The sequence below is a fragment of the Homo sapiens genome, chromosome 5 (genome assembly GCF_000001405.40).
Source record: "Homo sapiens chromosome 5, GRCh38.p14 Primary Assembly".
In the NCBI taxonomy this organism is placed as follows: domain Eukaryota; kingdom Metazoa; phylum Chordata; class Mammalia; order Primates; family Hominidae; genus Homo; species Homo sapiens.
In genome coordinates this window covers 180522437-180544512 of record NC_000005.10, presented here as the reverse complement: position 1 = coordinate 180544512, position 22076 = coordinate 180522437, and the positions used below count along the sequence as shown (strand labels likewise).

At 43.5% G+C, this 22076-nt stretch overlaps 1 protein-coding gene and 1 pseudogene across 14 annotated transcripts in view, besides 3 other annotated features; one reads left to right on the top strand and one right to left on the bottom strand.

Annotated features, from left to right (window-relative positions):
• CNOT6 (CCR4-NOT transcription complex subunit 6) overlaps positions 1 to 22076 on the bottom strand; it is an 83980-nt gene that overhangs the window by 33846 nt on the left and 28058 nt on the right. For 11 of the 14 annotated variants that reach the window (NR_163437.1, NR_163438.1, XM_047417436.1 and 8 more), the window contains one exon: positions 15125 to 15238. Coding sequence is in view for 9 of the 14 variants with exons in the window: in XM_047417436.1 (XP_047273392.1) it covers positions 15125 to 15236 (112 nt within the window). In the remaining 5 variants the exon portion in view is untranslated. The other 3 variants (NM_001370474.1, XM_047417441.1, XM_017009671.3) reach the window with 2 other exon arrangements.
• Positions 4157 to 4326: an enhancer, noted in NCBI's record as "active region_23769". NCBI's record gives its function as "activates an Ori minimal core promoter by ATAC-STARR-seq in GM12878 lymphoblastoid cells {active_cell/tissue: GM12878}" and the evidence as "EXISTENCE:reporter gene assay evidence [ECO:0000049][PMID:35858748]".
• On the top strand, positions 9855 to 10735 carry LOC100329129 (proteolipid protein 2 (colonic epithelium-enriched) pseudogene; annotated as a pseudogene).
• Positions 12500 to 13154: an enhancer, noted in NCBI's record as "H3K27ac-H3K4me1 hESC enhancer chr5:179958359-179959013 (GRCh37/hg19 assembly coordinates)". NCBI's record gives its function as "activates a minimal SCP1, AML or CMV promoter by ChIP-STARR-seq in primed H9 embryonic stem cells {active_cell/tissue: H9 hESC(primed)}" and the evidence as "EXISTENCE:reporter gene assay evidence [ECO:0000049][PMID:30033119]".
• Positions 16548 to 17049: an enhancer, noted in NCBI's record as "NANOG hESC enhancer chr5:179954464-179954965 (GRCh37/hg19 assembly coordinates)". NCBI's record gives its function as "activates a minimal SCP1, AML or CMV promoter by ChIP-STARR-seq in primed H9 embryonic stem cells {active_cell/tissue: H9 hESC(primed)}" and the evidence as "EXISTENCE:reporter gene assay evidence [ECO:0000049][PMID:30033119]".

Genomic DNA, 22076 nt, shown 5'->3' with positions numbered 1-22076 from the left:
TAGAGGCAGGAAGACAAGGAGAACTCGGATGCCTACCATACACACACACGATTCTGGAATAAATTTCTAAGTACCAAAAAACCAGGAAAGAAATGAAACAGAATAGTTATCAGCATAACTCAAACACTAGAATTCAAATATGAAAACAGTTGTCAGGTTTGAATTCATTAAAATGTAAAACTTCTTTCTATATGGTGAAGACACCAACTTATATGGGAAGCTAACCATTATTCAGTCAATTTTCAGTATCCACCATGCTGGTATGGGGATAGAATGGTAAATAATAGCATGTGCCTGCCCTCATGATTTCCTGTGAGTTTTATAATGAGAGAAAAGAAAACAAAGAAATCAACAGGAAAATGAACAATGGATAAGAATAGGTCACTTAAAAAACAAAGTCATGGCCAGGAGCGGTGGCTCACGCCTGTAATCCCAGCACTTTGGGAGGTCGAGGCGGGTGGATCACGAGGTCAGGAGATCGAGACCATCCTGGCTAACACAGTGAAACCCCATCTCTACTAAAAATACAAAAAAATTAGCCAGGCGTGGTGGCGGGCGCCTGTAGTCCCAGCTACTTGAGAGGCTGAAGCAGGAGAATGGCGTGAACCTGGGAGGTGGAGCTTGCAGTGAGCTGAGATCGTGCCACTGCACTCCAGCCTGGGCAACAGAGCAAGACTCCCTCTCAAAAAAAAAAAGTCATATTAAAAATAAATCTTCAAACTCAGTAATAAAAAAATGTTTACGATAGCAAAATAAAAAAGACTAATATCCAATATTGACAAGAAGGGGGAAACAGACACATTCTTTCATTTTGGGAAACATGCAACTATTTTGAAGCCAATCTGGTAATATCTACTAAAATTTTAAAGCTGAGTCGTCTTTGCCCCATCAATTCCACAATTTGTGATTTACCTTATGAAAACACTTGTTCAGGTATGCTAAGACATATATTGTTGGGGAAAATTAGAAATATAAACGATCATGAATCGAGCATACTGAATTACGTTTCATTCATGTAACATTCCTTAGCCATATTCTCTTTTAGAATGAAATAGTTACATACACTGATGTGGAACTATGTTCACAACAAATGAAGCAAAAAAAGCAAACTTCAAAACATGGTACTTCATTTTTGTTTAAAAAATCAGAGTGCAGGCCGGGTGCACTGGCTCACGCCTGTTATCACAGCACTTTGGGAGGCCGAGGTGGGTGTACCACGAGGTCAGGAGATCGAGACCATCCTGGCTAACACGATGAAACCCCGTCTCTATTAAAATCACAAAAAATTTAGCCAGGAGTGCTGGTAGGCACCTGTAGTCCCAGCTACTAGGGAGGCTGAGGCAGGAGAATGGTGTGAACCCAGGAGGCAGAGCTTGCAGTGACCAGAGACCGTGCCACTGCACTCCAACCTGGGCGGCAGAGTGAGACTCCGTCTCAAAAATAAATAAATAAATAAATAAATTTAAAAAAATTCAGAGTTTAAAAGATTAGTAACAGAAGTAAAAGAACATAATGTACTAGAGAAAGATATATCTCTACCATTGAACTACGCAATACAAGAAATTAAGGATCCTAATTTTCAGGAAGAGGTCAATGAACAAAAGGAAGTCACCTTTTGATAATCTCATATCTATCTACTTCTTCCCCACAAAATTGTACATACTCATAAGTACCCAAAAACTTGCATTTACTTTTAAGCAGCTTAGTGACTTGAGGAAGGCTGGGATTATCCTGACCTATGTTAAGAGCCCTGTTTTGATAAGTGATTTCATTATAAAATACCCAGGATCCTTTATTGCTAAATGCTAAGAGACAAGAGAAATCAATTTATGTGTTCTGAAATCACGTGGGTGATTAGCAAACACTAAAAGAACTAGGTGTAATTAGTATACCTACCAGGAAATCAAAATAACTATGCATTTGCAGATATAGAAAAAAACTAACAAGCGGCCGGGTGCAGTGGCTCACGCCTGTAATCCCAGCACTGTGGTAGGCCAAGGTGGGTGGATCATTTGAGGTCAGGAGTTCGAGACAAGCCTGGTCAACATGGTGAAATCCTGTCTCTACTAAAAATAAAAAAATTAGCTGGGTGTGGTGGCGCGGGCCTGTAGTCCCAGCTACTCGGGAGGCTGATGCAGGAGGATGGTGTGAACCCAGGAGGCAGAGCTTGCGGTGAGCCGAGATTGCACCACTGCACTCCAGCCTGGGCGACAGAGCGAGACCCTGTCTCAAAAAAAAAAAAAAATTGGTAGCCCAAACCAGAAACCCAGAGCCGACGAGCTCAGCAAAACCTCAGCAAAACCTAAGCAGCACAAGAGAAATAAAAGAACAAAAGAAAACTACACGAAGACACATCATTATCACACTGCTTAAAAGAGTAATGGCGAGAGACTCTTAAGGCAGCCACAGAAAACAGGCATACATAAAAGAAACAAGGATAAGAATGACCTTTTCTCAGAAACAATGCACGCTGGAAGGCCACAGAGCAACACGGAAGAACTCACCATGACATACGCCTTCCAAATCGTCACAGCTACTAGGAAGGCAGAAGGATTGCTTGAGGCCAGGAGTTTGAGGCTGCAGTGTATCACAATAGTGCCTGTAAACAGCCAGGGGGCACTGTAGCCTGGGCAACAGAGCGAGACCCCGTCTGCTAAAAAAATTTCTCTGGCCGGATAGTGCCACTACACTTCAGCCTGGGGGACAGAGCAAGACTCCATCTCAAAAACAAAAAAATACCAAAAAAAAAAAAAATTTCTCTGGCCGGGCATGGTGGCTCACGCCTGTAATCCCAGCACTTTGAGAGGCTGAGGTGGGTGGATCACGAGGTCAGGAGATCGAGACCATCCTGGCTAACAAGGTGAAACCCCGTCTTCACTAAAAATACAAAAAATTAGCCAGGCGTGATGGCAGGTGCCTGTTAGTCCCAGCTACTCGGGAGGCTGAGGCAGGAAAATGCTGTGAATCCGGGAGGCGGAGCTTGCAGTGAGCCAAGATTGCACCACTGCACTCTAGCCTGGGCAACAGAGCGAAACTCTGTCTCAAAAAAAAAAAAAAAAAAAAAAAAAAAATTTCTTGGCCAGTTGTGGTGGTTCATGCCTGTAATCCAGCACTTCGGGAGGCCGTGGCGGGTGGATCACGAGGTCAGGAGTTCGAGGCCAGCCTGGCCAACATGGTGAAACCCCGTGTCTACTAAAAATAAAAAAATTAGCCAGATGTGGTGGTGCGCACCTGTAATCCCAGCTACTCAGGAGGCTGAGGCAGGAGAATCACTTCAACCAGGGAGGCGGAGGTTGCAGTGAGGTGAGATTGTGCCATTGCACTCCAGCCTGGGCAAGAGAGTAAGACTCCATCTTAAAAAAAAAAAAAATTCTTAATTTAATTTAAAAAGAAGAAAGAAAATAAAGTACCGAAACATATGAACTGTCAATCTAGATTTCTATGCTCAGCAAAAACCTCTTTCAAAAATAGGTCAACAGAAAGGCTTTTCCAGACATAAAACCTAAAATACAAAAAATAAACAAAAACAAAAAAATCACTGGCAGACCCCATTACGTCTTTTTGTCAGAAGGAAAATTACAGAAACTTGCACTAGAAAGAAATGAAAAACATTGGAAATGCTAAGTATACGGAAAAATACTAACCAATTTTCCTATTACTTGAGTGTTTAAAGTAAAATAACAATGTATTTTGAGACTTACACCATATGGAGAAATAACATACATGACTACAATAGCATAGAGGCCAGGAGAGGAGAAACAGAAATACAGGTGCGCCTCAACTTACAATGGGGTTAGGGTCCAATAAAAACATTGTAAGTTTAAAATGTCGAAAATGTATTTAATATACTTAACCTACCAAACATCATAACTCAACCTAATCTACCTTAAATGTGCTCAGAATATTTACATTAGCCTACATTTGGGCAGAATCATCTAACACTAAGCCTATTTTTAATCAAGTGTTGAATATCTCATGTAATGACTGAATACTGTAGTGAAAGTGAAAAATAGAATGGTCATATGGGTACTCCAATTACGGTCTCTACTGAATGCATGACACTTTCATACTATCAAAAGGCGAACCATCGTGAGCCAGAGACTGCCTGTATATTGTTGTAAGACTTTTATGAGTGAAATGGTATAATATTACTTATTTGACCCTAATCATATCAATAACTGCATTAAATGTAAATGTGTTTAATGGAACTAAAAAAAGGGAAACCCACTGGTATACACTGGAAAGCACCAGTTTCAGAACATCACTACAACCAAGGGGGATATAGTCCCAATGAGTGACAAGTGAGTACAGGGTGTCCACAGTAAGTCTAAAATGGAAGCGTCCAACAGTCTCTGCCCCAGGGACCCTCGGAACTGACCAGTCAAGGCCCCACACTGAGAAAAAACTCCAAAAATGGAATTAAAATTAGTAGGATAGGAATAAAAAAGATGAAGGAAAAAGATAAAAATGAGAGAGAGGAACAGAACCAGAAAGTCTCAGAAAGCAAGTTCCCACAGTTGTGAACACTCTGAAAACTACAGAAAAGGGAGCACAGACATTAGTACAACTACCCTGAGTCACATCTTCTAAGTTTAGAAAAACTGAATTCAAATGAAAATGAACAGGCTGGGCGCGGTGGCTCACGCCTGTAATCCCAGCACTTTGGGAGGCCGAGGCGGGCGGATCATGAGGTCAGGAGATGGAGACCATCCTGGCTAACACGGTGAAGCCCTGTCTCTACTAAAAATACAAAAAATTAGCCGGGTGTGGTGGCGGGTGCCTGTAGTCCCAGCTACTCGGGAGGCTGAGGTAGGAGAATGGCGTGAACCTGGGAGGCAGAGCTTGCAGTAAGCCGAGATCACACCACTGCACTCCAGCCTGAGTGACAGAACAAGACTCCGTCTCAAAAAAAAAAAAAAAAAAAAAAAAAAAAAAAAAAAAAAAAAAAAAAAAAAAAAAAAGAACAGAAAAAGTACTGAAGTCAAATCCCAAAAAAATTATTTTAATAAGTTGCTATAAAAGCATACTCCAAACATGCCCAAAAAACTATTACCTAGTATTTCAAAATGAGGTGAAAGATATTTAAAAAATGATAGAAGCAAGAAAAGAACAAAAAATTTAGAAAAGCTCAGTAAAGGAAAACTAAACTACAAGGAGCCTAATAATGAATAACTACAAAAAAAAAAATTTAAGGAGGAGGAAATGCAGTTTTTTTTTGTTTGTTTGTTTTTAAAGAGATAGGGTCTCACTCTGGGGCCTTGCCATCTTGCTCAGGGTGCTTTCAAACTCCTGAGTCCAAGTAATCCTCCTGCTTGGCTGACTTTTTTTTTTTTTTTTTTGAGATGGAGTCTCGCTCTGTTGCTAGGCTAGAGTGCAGTGGCATGATCTCAGCTCACTGCAACCACTGCCTCCCGGGTTCAACAAATTCTCCTGCCTCAGCCTCCCGAGCAGCAGGGACTACTGGCACATACCACCACACCCAGCTCATTTTTTGTATTTTTAGTACAGATGGGGTTTCACCATGTTGGCCAGAATGGTCTCCATCTCTTGACCTCATGATCTGCCTGCCCTGGCCTCCCAAAGTGTTGGGATTATAGGCGTAAGCTACCGTACCCAGACAATTTTTTTTCTTTTGAGAGAGGGTCTCACTCTATCACCCAGGCTGGAGTACAGTGGTGCGATCTCAGCTCACTGTAACCTCCACTTCCTGGGCTAAAGTAAAGTAATGCTCCCACCTCAGCCTCTTGGGTAGCTGGGACCACAGTTGCACACTACCACACCTGGCTAATTTTTTTGTATATATATATATATATATATATATATATACCTTTTTCTCAGACAGAGTCTCGCTCTGTCGCCCAGGCTGGTGTAATCTTGGCTTACTGCAACCTCCGCCTCCCGGGTTCAAGCAATTCTCCTGCCTAGGCCTCCTGACTAGCTAGGACTACAGGAGCACGCCACTATGCCCGGCAAATTTTTTTTGTATTTTAGTAGAGACGGAGGTTCACTGTGTTGCCCAGGCTGGTCTCAAACTCCTGAGCTCAGGTAATCGGCCTCCCTTAGTCTCCCAAAGTGCTAGGATTACAGGCGTGAGCCACCGCGCCTGGCCTAAGAAGGGATTAAATGAGAATTAACTACATTAATCCTTGTATTTTTTAATAAAGATGATGTTCCGGCCAGGTGCGGTGGCTCACGCCTGTCATCCCAGCACTCTGGGAGGCCCAGGCAGGCAGATCACGAGGTCAGGAGATTGAGACCATCCTGGCTAACACAGTGAAACCCCGTCTCTACTAAAAAATACAATAAATTAGCCGGCAGTTGTGGCGGGCACCTGTAGTCCCAGCTACTTGGGAGGCTGAGGCAGGACAATGGCTTGAACCTGGGAGGCGGAGCTTACAATGTGCGGAGATCCAGCCACTGCACTCCAGCCTGAGCAACAGAGCGAGACTCCGTCTCAAAAAAAAAAAAAAAAAAAAAAGATGATGTTCCACCATGTTGCCCAGGCTGGTCTACTGTATAATCTACCCACACTGGCCTCTCAAAGTGCTGGGTCTGGTGTGAGACACTGCACCCAGCCTTAAAACTTATTTAAATCACAAATAAGCGAATACTTAAAAGATCTGAAGTTAGTCACTTTCTTATACACTGGCAATGAACAAATGGAATTCAGAATTAAAAATACACCATTTACACCAAAAAAAAAAAAAAGAGAGAGAAAGAGGAATAAATCTAACTAAATATTTACAAATTATATATGAGGAAAACCACAAAATTCTGAAGAAATCAAAGAACTAAATAAATGGAGATATTCTATGTTCACAGATATGAAGACACAATACTGTCAAGATGTTCTTCCTAATTTGATATATAGACTAAACAGAATCCCAAAGTCCCATTTAAATTCAGCACTTCTGCCCTGTGAAAGACACGGTCAAAAGAGTAAGACAACCCACAGACCGGGAGATATTTTTGCAAAAGACATATCCGCATTTTTTAAAAGTTTAAAAAAAAAACTCTTAAAACTGAACAATAGGAAAACAACCCAATTTAAAAACGGGCAAAAGATTTGAACACACACCTAACCAAAGCAGATATACCCATGGCAAAAAAGCATATGAAAAGATGGCCAATATATATGCCATTAGAGAACCGCAAATTAAAACAACGAGATACTGCTACACACCTATCAGGATGGCAAAAAAATCCAAAACACTAACACCACCAAATCCGGAAAAGGATGTGCTGGTAGGAGGGCAAAATGATACAGCCACTTTAGAATACAGTTTGGTACTTTTTGGCAAAACTAAACACACTATTCCCATATAATTCAGCAATCATGCCTCGTTGGTATTTACCCAAAGGAGCTGAAAACTTAATGTCTACACAAAGAACTGCACACAGATGTTTATAGTAGCTTTACCAAAAATTGCCAAAACTTGGAGGCAACCAAGATGTCCTTCAGTAGGTGACTGGGTAAATAAACTGGTACATCCAGACAATGGAATATTACTCAGTGCTAAAAAAGAATGAGCTATCAAGCCATGACAAGACACAGAGAAAACATAAACATCTATTACTAAGTTAAAGAAGCTGGCTGGGCACAGTGGCTCATGCCTGTTATCCCAGTGTTTTGTAAAATTAAGACAGGAAGATCACTTGAGGCCAGGAGTTAGAGACCAAGCTGGGAAACACAAGACCCCTGTCTCTACAAAAAATTAAAATATAAAAACTTGCCTTTAGCTGGGCATGGTGGCATGCACTGTAGTCCCAGCTACTTGAGGGGCTGAGGAAGGAGGATTGCTTGAACCCACGAGGTCGAGGCTGCAGTGAGCCGAGATGGCATCACTGCACTACAGCCTGGGTGACAAAGTGAGATCCTGTCTCCAAAACAAAACAAAACAAAAAAGCCAGGCATGGTTGTGTGCACCTGTAGTCCCAGCTACTCAGGAGGCTGAGGCAGGAGGATCACTAGAGCTCAGGAGTTTGAGATTATACCACTCCATCCAGCCTGGGCCACAGAACAATGATATCTTATCTCAAAACAAATAGATAAATGGGACTTAATTACATTAAGAAGTTTCTGCACAGCAAAAATAATAATAATGATAATTAACACTACAGAATGAGAGAAAATATTGGCAACTACACATCTGACAAAGGGTTACTATATAGAATCTACAAGGAACTCAACTCAACATGAAAAAAACAACCCTAGGCCAGGCACGGTGGCTCACACCTGTAATCCCAGCACTTTGGGAGGCCAAGGCAGGCGGATCACAAGGTCAGCAGATCGAGACCATCCTGGCCAACATGGTGAAACCCCATCTCTACTAAAAAAAAATACAAAAAATTAGCCGGGTGTGGTGGCGGGTGCCTGTAGTACCAGCTACTCAGGAGGCTGAGGCAGGAGAATGGTGTGAACGTGGGAGGCAGAGCTTGCAGTGAGCCGAGATGACACCACTGCACTCCAGCCTGGGCAACAGAGTGAGACTGTCAAAAAAAAAAAAAAAAAAAAAAAAAAAAACCCTAATAAGTGGGCAAAGAACATGAAACAATATTTTTCAAAAGACAAATTGCCAACAAATACGAAAAAAATGCTCAACATCAATAATCATCAGAGAAATGCAAATTAAAACCACAATGAAATACCATCTTACACCACTCAGAAAGGCTACTATTAAAAAGTCAAAAACAACAGATGCTGGCAAGGATGTGAAGAAAAAGGAACGCTTGAACACTGTTGGTGGGAATGTAAATTAGTACAACTTGTATGGAAATCAGTATGGAGATTTCTCACAGAACTACAAATACAACTACCATTCTATCCAGCAGTCCCACTACTGGGTATCCCCAAAGGGAAAGAAATCATCATGTCAAAAAGATAACCTGCACTCGTGTATTGTAGCACTATTCACAATAGCAAAGATACGGCCTCAACCTAAGTGTCCAACAATGGATGACTGGATAAAGAAAATGCAGTGTATATATACACCAAGAAATACTACTGAGTTATAAAAAAGAATGAAAGCATATCTTGTGCAGCAACCTGGACAGAACTGGAGGCCGTTATCCTAAGCAAAACAACTCAGAAACAGTCAAATACCGATGTTCTCACTTACAAGTGGGAGCTAAACAATGGGTACACATGCACATACAGAATGGAAAAACAGACACTGAAGATTCCAAAACACGGGAGGGCGAAAAAGGTGAAAAAGTTACCTTTTGGGTACAATGTTCACTATTAGGGCAATGAGTACACTAAAAGGCCAGACTTTGCCACTACACAATATATCCGGTAAGAAAACCGTACTTGTGACTCCCTCTGCCCCAGACGCCCCCTTCCTAGCCAGATGGCTGGGTGTGCAGTGTCCTCCACCCCACGAATCAGTGAGCACATCTTCTGCGTCGCCAGGGACTCCGGCCCATGCCATGGTGGATTCCAAGGGCCTCTCGGACCCCAGGGACTCCGGCCCATGCCATGGTGGATTCCGAGGGCCTCTCGGACCCCAGGGACTCCGGCCCATGCCATGGTGGATTCCGAGGGCCTCTCGGACCCCAGGGACTCCGGCCCATGCCATGGTGGATTCCGAGGGCCTCTCGGACCCCAGCGACTCCGGCCCATGCCATGGTGGATTCCGAGGGCCTCTCGGACCCCAGGGACTCCGGCCCATGCCATGGTGGATTCCGAGGGCCTCTCGGACCCCAGGGACTCCGGCCCATGCCATGGTGGATTCCGAGGGCCTCTCGGACCCCAGGGACTCCGGCCCATGCCATGGTGGATTCCGAGGGCCTCTCGGACCCCAGGGACTCCGGCCCATGCCATGGTGGATTCCGAGGGCCTCTCGGACCCCAGCGACTCCGGCCCATGCCATGGTGGATTCCGAGGGCCTCTCGGACCCCCGCTGCTGAGGCCAACTTCTTGCGCACCCAAAAGGGAATCCTCCAGGTTTGCTAAGATTACATTGTGCCTGGTGATCCTGATCTACTTCAAGTGCCTCCACACCAGACTATTCCTCCCTGTTGGTGGCTGAAATGATACTTGCTGCTACTTTGTCAGCTACGTGTGTGATCTGCACACCAAAATACCATTCATCAATTGGCCCTGGAGTCATTTCTTCCAAACCCTCTTAGCAGTGATCCTCTACCTAATCACCTCCATTATCGACAATGTTGAGAAAGAAAACCACTCCAAAATCATCGCAGGGGTACTGGGCCTAATTGCTAAGGGCCTCTTTGGCTTTAATGCCTACGTCAACCTTCCCCTTTCGGTAGCAAAGATATACAAGATATACAGCAGCCCCCACTGGCCCCACAGATGGCCCAGTGTAGGCAAACTCCCCTCATTTCTCTCTGTAACCTGCAAATAAGTTTTCCATGGAAATAACTCTTCCCTGTCCCAACACCACCACTTCCAACCAACCAATTCCCACCCCCCTATAGAGGTAAAAGTGCCTTCATTGGGAGAATATTGTCTTCCAGCCTGCCAATCAACCCTGATGGGTGTGGCCACCTTTATGGGTATGCTTAGGTCCTGCTTCTGCAGTATCCAAAAGGAGACACGAGTTTTGCCTGAACCATGCCACCACCTAAGCCATAAAGTGAGGGAGGAGGAAGCCTTAGATTTCAGAGTCCAGGCCCCAGGTGGTGACCCACTCCAAATAATCTCCTTGGTGTGAGTGGTGGTTCTATGGAGGGATAAATAAATAATAAACAGATTGTTAAAATATAAAAAAGAAAACTGTACTTATACCTCCTAAATCTATAAAAATGAAATAAATAAGTTAAAGAAGCCAATCTGGGCTAAGTAAGTTGGCTTATGTCTGTAATACCAGCACTTTGGGAGGCTAACGCGGGAGGACTGCTTGAGGCCAGGAGCTCAAGACCAGCCTGGGCAACAAAGGGAGACCCCTATCTCTAAGGAAAATTTTTAAAATGTTAGCTGGGCATGGTGGCATGAGTCTGTAGTCCCAGTTACTCAGGAGGGTGAGGTGGGAGGATCACATGAGCCCAGGAATTCAAGGATACAGTAAGCTATGTATAATCATGCCACTGCATTCCAGCCTGGGCAACAGAGCAAGACCTCATCTCTAAATAATAATAATAACAATAAATTAAGAAAGGTTACTTTAGAGGCGTCTCCCCTCTTCCTTCCTATGTTGTATTACGGTGATATATATATATATATATATATATATATATAGGTTTTCATCCATGGTTCCTGGTTCCTAACTCCCATAGTCTTTGTTATAATGTTAGAGTGCTTAAGGCCTCAGGAAACAGGATCTATGACCTTCTCCTATCCTCCTTTCCCCTGCCCAAGGCAGGACTCTAATCTCACTGTGGGTCAGAAGACCGTCATTCCAGAGAGGGTCCTGCCCCATACCTTAGAAGAAGGAATGCTACACAGCCCAAGAAAAGTCTGAGCAGACATGCCTTGCTTGTCTAATAATCACATTTCTACAGCTGTCAACCATGCCTATGTAATGAAGCCTCCATAAAAACCCGAAAGAACAGGGTTCAGAGAGCTTCCAGATAGCTGAATGCACGAGGTTCCTCCTGAAGGGTGGTGTGCCCAGGGAGGGCATGGACACTGCACTTTTTCCCCTACACCTTGCCCTGTGCATCTTTTCATCTGTATCCTTTGTAATATCCTTTATAATAAACTGGTAAACGTAAGTAGATGTTTCTCTGAGTTCTGTGAACCACTCCAGCAAATTAACTGAACCCAAAGAGGGGGTCGTGGGAACCCCAACCTGAAGCTGGTCAAAGCTCTAGAGGCCCAAACATGGGACTGGTGATAGAAGTGGGAGAGGGCAGTCTTGGGGACTGAGTCCACAAACCGTGGGATCTGATGCTACCTCCAGGAAGACAGTGTTGGAATTGAATTGGAGGGCACCTAACTGGTGTCTGCTGCTTGCTGTGTGGGGAAAAGAAACCCACACCTTTGGTCACAGAAGTCTTCTTTTGTGTTGATGACTGTGGTGGTGTGAGAGCAAAGAAAAAACATGGGTTGAGGGTTTTTCCCTATATGTGTATACAGAACTTCTTCCCAAAGTTCAGGGTAAGCAGAGAACAGTGACTCAAAGTCACCAAGGAGTTCACAGCATGTGGTGGAAGGAGGAGAGGGTGGAGGAGAATCTCCTCAGCCTCAGAGATGTATCTCAATGACCTGAGTGCTTTCTTGCGTATCCTAATGCTGTAAGATAGGGGACACTTCCTTACAAGCAAAGGAATTGTAATGCAAAAACTGCTAATAAGGGCTGAAAAAAGGAGAGGTAAATATAGTCAAATGCCAATCCTGAAAAAATTAAAAGGGAAAAATAGGAGTGGTGACTGACTGTGCTTTGAGAATAACTACAAAATTAGTGCATATTTCTCTTTGGGCTCCCCTGGCACAGAAAGCCAAATCTGACAGGTGAGAAGAAGAGAAATTTCACTCTCCATGACCACACCTACTTACTGAGCTGAACTTGGTTTAATAAAGTCCAGCATTCTAGAAATCAGAAGAGGGGTCCCTCTCCCTCTCCCCGGTCTCCCTCTCATGCCACCAAAGTTGTGAAAGCCGAGGCTGGACTGTACTGCCGCCATCTCGGCTCACTGCAACCTCCCTGCCTGATTCTCCTGCCTCAGCCTGCAGAGTGCCTGGGATTGCAGGCACGCGCCGCCACGCCTGACTGGTTCTTGCATTTTTTGGTGGAGACGGGGTTTCGCCATGTTGGCCGGGCTGGTCTCCAGCTCCTGACCCCGAGTGATCTGCCTGCCTCGGCCTCCCGAGGTGCCGGGATTACAGACGGAGTTTTGCTCACTCAGTGCTCAATCTTGCCCAGGCTGGAGTGCAGTGGCGTGATCTCGGCTCGCTACAACCTCCACCTCCCAGCCGCCTGCCTTGGCCTCCCAAAGTGCTGAGATTGCAGCCTCTGCCTGGCCGCCACCCCGTCTGGGAAGTGAGGAGCGTCTCTGCCTGGCCGCCCATCGTCTGGGATGTGAGGAGCCCCTCAGCCCGGCCGCCCAGTCTGGGAAGTGAGGAGCGTCTCTTCCCAGCCGCCATCCCGTCTAGGAAATGAGGAGCGTCTCTGCCCGGCCGCCCATCGTCTGAGATGCGGGGAGCGCCTCTGCCCCGCCGCCCCGTGTGGGATGTGAGGAGCGCCTCTGCCCGGCCGTGACCCCGTCTGGGAACTGAGGAGTGTCTCTGCCCGACCGCTACCCCGTCTGGGAGGTGAGAAGCGTCTCTGACCGGCCACCCCGTCTGAGAAGTGAGGAGCCCCTCTGCCCGGCAGCCGCCCCGTCTGGGAAGTGAGGAGCCCCTCTGCCTGGCAGCCGCCCCGGCCAGCCGCCCCAGCTGGGAGGGAGGTGGGGGGCGCCTCCGCCCAGCCGCCCGGTCTGGGAAGTGAGGAGCCCCTCTGCCCGGCCGCCACCCCATCTGGGAGGTGTACCCAACAGCTCATTGAGAACGGGCCATGATGACAACGGCGGTTTTGTCGAATAGAAAAGGGGGAAATGTGGGGAAAAGAAAGAGAGATCAGATTGTTACTGTGTCTGTGTAGAAAGAAGTAGACATGGGAGACTCCATTTTGTTCTGTACTAAGAAAAATTCTTCTGCCTTGGGATGCTGTTAATCTATAACCTTACCCCCAACCCCGTGCTCTCTGAAACATGTGCTGTGTCCACTCAGGGTTAAATGGATTAAGGGCGGTGCAAGATGTGCTTTGTTAAACAGATGCTTGAAGGCAGCATGCTCCTTAAGAGTCATCACCACTCCCTAATCTCAACTACCCAGGGACACAAACACTGCGGAAGGCCGCAGGGTCCTCTGCCTAGGAAAACCAGAGACCCTTGTTCACATGTTTATCTGCTGACCTTCCCTCCACTATTGTCCTATGGCCCTGCCAAATCCCCCTCTCCGAGAAACACCCAAGAATGATCAATAAAAACTAAAAAAAAAAAAAAAAAAGAAATCAGAAGAGGGAAAACAGGAGAGACCCGTGTGTGTACTGACCTCTACTATGGCTGCAAAGGCAGGCATTTAAGTTTACTCAACAGGTTAACCAGAAATTTTGAGCTGACAAAGGAGGAATGCTATTATCCTTATTTCCTTTTTGCTTCCTGTTATATAGCACTTTTATACCTAGATTTGTTATGTTTTGTCTATTAGTTATTTATACTTGTGCACTCCCTCTCACTCCCTAATGTCATAAGCTCCATAAAAAGCGGGACTTTATAGATCTTCCACGCACGTGGGCCAGCGCCAGGTAAAATGTTTTACACACAGCATATGCTCAGTATGTCTGCTGCATTAAATTTTTAAAAATCAAGGGCGGTCAGGTGAAAGACGACAAAATTTGTTCTGTACTATTTTAGAAGGCAAAAATCAGAACAAACTGAAAGGAAAGTAAGGGGAAGCATAATAGGCCAACAGTAACACAAAACTTCATTAGCACTGGTTGCCCTGAGAAGTAATGTCCCTTCACCATCTTCAAAATATTTAAAAAGAGACTGTGTGCCCACTGGCAGAGATGCTGGGGAAAGGATATCCTTCACATCTGAGGGCTCATATATTTCTTTGAATATGTCCAGATTGCATTAAAAGGGGAAGGGAAATTTGAGATCTTCTTCAAACTCTTAAGATTTTGTGTTTCTGAATAAGGCTGTCCTCAGTGACTCAGACTCAGAAGCCAATGAAGAAAATAAGGAGAAACAAACCTACCCAAAACCTATACAGATCAGCCATTCCTACCCCACCAGAAATCTATCATTGACAATGCAAAAGCTCAATCCTACTTTATCAGAGAATCAAATACCAGAACAAATACGTGACTGGGCACTAGCACTTCACATGTGTTATTTTCATTTCATCCTTGTTATTATTTTACATTTATGTATTTTGTAAGAGGACACTGATACTGAGAAAATATTCAATGAATGGCTTTTGAACTTTGACTCAAATCATATTCTTTTCATTGAACCTTCCTGCTTCTAAGATAAGTTACTAAAATACAATCATTTATAAATACATTACATTTGTAAAATATAAAATCAATGTTTCTTTCCTGTATTGGCATTAGAAAACTCAGTTTACTACCATATCTTAATTTCCATACCATAAATTCATGCTTCCATGTCTTACCACTTATTTCAAGCTCTGCCCAGTGGGATTTCTTTCCATTTGCTGCTTCCTCAGAAGACATAATTGTATACATCCTCCGAGGGTCAGGGGGCTCGTATTTTTCTTTGGGCATGCCTGTTAAGAAAAGAAACCAATCAGTATTCTAAAAAATCAAATAAACAAAAGCCACAACACCTTTTTTTTTTTTTTTTGAGACGAAGTCTGACTCTGTCACCCAGGCTGGAGTGCAGTGGCACGATTTTGGCTCACTCCAACCTCTTCAAGCAATTCTTCTGCCTCAGCCTCCCAAGTAGCTGGGACTATAGGCGTGCACCACCATGCCGGGCTCATTTTTGTATTTTTAATACAGACGGGGTTTCACCATATTGGCCAGGCTGGTCTTGAACTCCTGACCTCATGATCCGCCCGCCTTGGCCTCCCAAAGTGCTGGGATTACAGGAGTGAGCCAGCATGCCCGACCCACATCTTTTAAAAGTGGACACCCATATTACAATCTCTACCATTTCCCACTGAAAGAAACTAGGAGCTTCTTGCAGAAATTGATTATTCCAAGCACAGGACAAGACAGATACAAACAAGCTGTGAAGCTAACAAGGGTGCAGCAGCTGTGGGGGACACAGAAGCCAGCTTGAAGAAGCTTCCACTGACCAACTATGAGACAATCTGAACATCAGAAAAATGACTGCAACTGAGTCATCATGAACTTCATGAATTCATAATTTTATCTAAAAATCAAAAAACTCAGTCACCTGAAAATTAGAAAATAAAAGAATCGGCCAGGCATGGTGGCTCACGCCTATAATCCCAGCACTTTGGGAGGCCGAGGCGGGTGAATCACGAGGTCAGGAGATTGAGACCATCCTGGCTAATGTGGTGAAACTCCATCTCTACTAAAAATACAAAAAAAAAAATTAGCCGGGCATGGTGGCAGGCGCCTGTAGTCCCAGTTACTCGGAAGGCTGAGGCAGGAGAATGGCGTGAACCCGGGAGGTGGAGCTTGCAGTGAGCCAAGATCGTGCCACTGCACTCCAGCCTGGGCAACAGAGCGAGACTCCGTCTCAAAAAATAAATAAATAAATAAATAATAAAAGAATCAAACATTTATCCTGCATTTCTGGCAGAAACTAGGTGAGTGACTGTTTTTAACAGAATTCTAGCTAATAAATCCAAAAAGAGTTACATAATTAGAAAATAATCAGTTTACAATCTCTAAGAAAATAATGGATCTAGGCAATGATCAATGGTTAATAAAACCATTAAGTGTGAAAAAAAATCAGTGGAAAATTTTTAAATGGATAGTCAGGCTACAACAGTGGTTCCCAACCTTTTTGGCACCACGGACCAGTTTCGTGGAAGACAATTTTCCACAGATTTGGGGAGGGTGGGGTGGTTTCGGGATGAAACCGTACCATCTCAGATCACCAAGCATTAGTTAGATCGCATCATAAGGAACGCACAGCCTAGGTCCCTCGCATGCGCAGTTCACAAGAGGGTTTGTGCTCCTATGAGAATCTATTGCTGCTGCTGATCTGACGGGGTGGACCTTGGGCAGTAATGCTTGCTCACGTGCCGCTCACCTCCTGCTGTGCGACCCAGTTCCTAACAGGCCATGGACGAGTACCAGGGTTGAGAACCCTTGGGCTACAAGACCTAAACCCAATGATCAGTCTCATCGTTAGGACAACCAGACATTACGTGCTTCCCAATAAGACACCATGAGAAGTACACATAAACCACCTATGTCCTTGACCCCTCACCAACAAAGTTAAAAACTGAACCTGAATCAAATCCAGCCTCTCTAGATCTGATACTAGTTTACACAAAGTAAGGGATCTAGAGGAACGTGTTTAAAATAACACCACAGGACACAACCATGTGAACGTATTTAATACTACAGAACGTTACACTTGCTTATGTAGTAACTATCATGTTGTGAATTTTACAATTAAAAATTTTTTTAAAGTAAAAATAATACAAGAATACAGACATCCAGACGCAGAATACAGAAGTTCTAGATGACAAAAGACCAAATATCTTGAACAAATCAATGGTCTGAAAAAGAGGAGTAAAATGAAACATATGGAATAAATGACTTAAGAGGCACAGCAATCAAATGCAATGTACAGACCTTGTTTAATTCCAACTTAAACAAATCTGGTTTTTCTGATTTTGAAAATGAGAGAAACCTGAAGATAGACTAAATATCAGTTAATATTAAACAAGTATTGTGATTCAGGCACAGTGGCTCATGCCTGTAATCCCAGCACTTTTGTGAGGCTTGGGCCCAGGAGTTTGAGACCAGCACCACCCTGGGCCCCATCTCTTACCAAAAAAATTAAAAATTAGCCAAGCATGGTGGTATACACCCATAGTCCCAGCAACTCAGGAGGCTGAGGTGGGAGGATCGCTTGAACCCAGGAGGTTGAGGCTGCAGTAAGATGTGACTGTGTCCCTGCACTCCAGCCTGGGCGACAGTGAATCCTGTCTCAAAAAAAAAAAAAAAAAGTTTTACGGTTGTATGTGATTTTTTTAAATTCTTGTCCATTATAGATACATTCTAAAATATTTAGGTGAAATAAAACATCACTCCCATGCATATTCCCTCAAAGCCCTTGTTCTTGTCTCGCTTTTATTCTTTTGGATAAATCATAATCCTGGTTTAACCAATTGTCTACCTACTCTGTATACCCATGCAGCTAAACATAGCTGGAGAAAAGCCTATGACCATGTAAGTTTAAAGTGAGCCAGTCAGCAATCATTCCTCAGACTCTGTATACTGCCCAGAAATAATACTGTAAATTCCTAGTCTATCCCCTTCTCCTAGATGACTTCTGTCTTCAAACCTCTAACACCTACTCCTCCATCCTCCCTCTCAGCTGATGACCTGACTTTCGCAGTGAAACAGAATGCCAGAAGGGCCCTTTCTACGAACTCCCACCTATGCCCATCTATCCCTGCCCTTAGCACGTAAGCCATTTGTGCAATTCGATCCACCCCCTCATTCTGCCTATTCAAGGACATTACTCTGGCAATCCCTTCCTTCCTCTCATCACATTATGCCTCCCTCCTGGATCTTTACCTTCAGCACACATATATGTGCTATTCTTTCCTCTATTAAAAAGTCTTAAGTTCATTTCTCGCTCCAGCTACTTTGCTTCTCTCATTCTCTCTATAGCAAAAACAATCCTCAGGAATTGTGTATGTTCTCTGCCTTCTCCTCCCAGTTAAACCCATTCAAGTTCGTAAGTGTTTTCAACCTTTCACCAAAAACTATCAAGAAGAAACCCAGTAGCCAGGCACAATGGCTCACGCCTATAACCCCAACGGCTTTGAGATGCTGGGGAGGGAGGAACACTTGAGTCCAGGAGTTCAAAGCTGCAGTGAGCCATGATCATGCCACTGCACTCCACTCTGAGTAACAAAGCACAACCCTGTCTCTAAAAATATTTTGTTTTTAATTTTTTTTTAAAAGAAGAAACCCAGTGATCTTATATTCTTATTTCCAATGGTCACTTCTCTGACCTCTTTTTGCTTATGATCAGCATTTGATATAGATGATCGCCCCCGCCTAGAAACACACTGCTTGGCTTCCAGGATATCGGTTTTCTTGGTTTTCCTCCTAACTCTTTAGATTTAGTTTTTTCTAGTTCTTCCTGCAGAGTTGCAATTATCTCCATTTTACCAGAAAACAGAAACTCAAAATGGTTTAAGCAATTTGCCCACTGTTACAAGGCTGGGAAACAGCAGAGTCAGGCTTTAAATGAGTCTGATTAAAAGTTAAAGCTACTTTAATTATGCTATGCTGCCTCCCTGCTGACAGGAAATAGAACTACTTTTTTTTTTTTTTTTTGAGACAGGGTCTCACTTTGTCACCCAGGCTGGAGTGCGATGGTGCCATCTCTGCTCACTGCAGCCTTCACCTCCCAGGCTCAAAAGCCATCCTCCCCTCAGCCTCCCGTGTAGTTGGGACTACAGGCATGCGCCACCACACCAGGCTAATCTTTGTATTTTTTTTGTAGAGATTGGTTTTCGCCATGTTGCCCAAGCTGGTCTCAAACTCCTGGGCTCATGCGATCCACCTGCCTCAGCCTCCCAAAGTGTTAAGATTAGAGGCATGAGCCACCGCACCCGGCCTACTTTTCAAACATAGAAATGGGTTTTGACTGTTTAATCAAAGCACAGAAGGAAGTAAGTAATCCTAAAAAGCTTCTTAAGAATATAAATGGTGAGATAAAACAAACTGGTCTTATACGTTAGTTTCTTCAATATAGAAATATAATAACTGCTGTTTTTAGACGGATAAAAAAATATTCAATACAAAAGAACAAACACAAAGAAGTGCTCCTTCTGTCTAGAGAACCATATGGTAAGGAAAGTGCTCTTTCTGAATGACACGCATGTATCAGTAATAACCTAGAAAATATAAAATGCTCTGTTCTATGCTACCAGAGCTTGATGACAGCATCCCTTAAGATCACCTAAATGCCACTGTTCTGACCAGACTCCACTTACAAAGTAACTATCTGATCTTCATTAGCTTTCCCAGATAGAATTTAATAATGGTAAGAAATTGCTCTGACCAGCTGAGATTAGTATTTTTGTCCTATTAATCATTAGAATTATTGATGAAAGTTCAGAAGTCTGATTTATCAATCTCATGTAAGCTTAGTGTGAATCAATGTTCAGTTTGATCATACTTCAGGAAGTGTTACTGGACTAAGAAATCTGAAAACCATGCCCTGTACCTGTGGTCATTCTATCAAACAGTCTTGATTTCCACCTAGGCAGCCAACCATTCCCTTTCTTGGTTTTTCGTATTGTGAGACTGGCTGTCTTAAAATTTAAAGTACTCATCATTTTAAGCCCCAAGGCACTGAAGATCTCTTCAGTGCTTCTCTATTTTCCAAATCTCTGAGATTGAGAATTAGGAAGTAAAAAAAAAAGGCTAGAATAAAAGAAACATAGCAAATTGGACATATGCCCACTGAAAAACCCAATCCATTTTTCTGGGAGTCTAACAAAGTATAGCACTGCAGATTAGGTAAAGGAAAGGATATAGGAATACATGCAGTTTAGGATCTTTCCCAAGGCTGTGAAATCAACAAGTACTTCTTGCTCTCTAAAAAGTATAGTATGTCACTGAAGATTACTACCTAAAATAATAAAAGTATTCCAAAAAACACCTGAAAACTTTCAAGAATTACAAAAGAATTTTTTTTAAAATAGCTAGGCCAGAGTCAAGAGTCAGCAGGCATATAGCACCTAACTAGTTAACATCTTACCAATCAAATGCCAGACATCACTACTGATCCTGGCACAATCAAACAAAAATCTCTACCTGTTTCGGTTCTCAGAGCACTTTTTCATGATCTTAGAATAATTATTTCACTTAAAGAAACACAAAACATTCCTTGTATTTATTAGAAAGACATGCTTTCAGATCTGCTTATGAAACAGCTTAAACATACAAAACCTATGGCCATCCTGGGAAAGTTAGTGGTGCAAAGCAGAATTACAAACCATGAAAAGACTATCCAGGAACATTTAAAGAGCGGCCTGCACGTATACCATAAACTTTGAATGTCTGCCAGAATCTAGAGGGAGAAAAAAAACCTTCAGGAATCCAGTCTACTTCACACTTGCAGAAATGCTGGGGGTTAGCGGGAGCTGGGGATAGGAATCACAGTGAGGGGTTATAAGAGACTTAGCAGAATATGAAGTAAAGTGAAAAGAAATGAAAGTGAAGAAAACCAACTGGAATGAAGATACCCACAAAGACCAAGCAGAAAAAGTTACATTTAAAGCACTTAAATATATTTGAACCTCCTCTGGTTAGGAGAGAGGTGAAAAGAAATAGTTGTTGAAAAGAGAACCCTAAGAAAGGGGGAGAGCCTCTGGTCTATTTTTCAGTCAGGAATCAAACATGTTCAGTGAAATTAGGGACAATCAAACATTTGAGTGTGCCCCTGGGAAAAGGATTTGTAGTTACAAAATAGTAAAAACCAGAACTGAAATCCACCCATCCTAACAGCCCCTAACCAGCAGATATGCCACAACCCCCTGCCCCACCCCAGTAAGCAAAAGAAAAGCCATCTCTACTTAACCTTCAAAATGAACATCTAAGGGGAAAAGAAAAGGGGTACCTGAGAAGCAACTGTAAAAGACAAACTGTTTTTCCTCTATGCTCACACTTAACACAAACGCTTGTGACCAGATGTGTGAAGGTTTTTCCCCACACACCAAGCAATTCTCCAGCATATACCACACACCTGAGTGTCCTATAGCTCAATTCAATCCTGACAGTATCTACCTGGAGTTAGATCCCACTGAGATTATGGGCTGAGTCCCACAATACTGCCCCTCTCTTCTTCAGACACAAGTAAGGTCATCACCCACACTTCTGATGACCGGCTATAAAGCTGGGTTCCCAACACTCCCTCCTGGAGTTGGATTAATTTGTTAGAACGGCTCACAGAATGCGGGCAAACACATTCACTGGTTCGTTATAAGGATATGGTAAAGTATACAGATGAACAGACAGATGAAGTTGTATACAGGGTGAGGAACAGCGCAGGGGTGCAGAGCTTCCATGCCCTCTCCCACCTCAGCCTACTTTGGGAGCTAAGGCAGAAGGATCACTTGAGCCCAGGAGGTCCAGGCCACAGTGAGCAGAGATAACACCACTGCACTCCAGCGTGGGCAAGAGTGAGACCCTGTCTCAAAAAACAAGACATACAAGCAGCCAACAAACATGAAAAAATGCTCCACATAACTAAACAGAAAAATGCAAATCAAAACCACGAGATACCATCTCACACCAGTCAGAATGGCTATTACTAAAAAGATAAAAACTAACAGATGCTGGCGAGGCTGCCCCAAAAAGGGAACACTTATACACTGCTGGTGGGAATGTAATTAGTTTAGCCATTGTGAAAAACAGTTTGGAGATTTC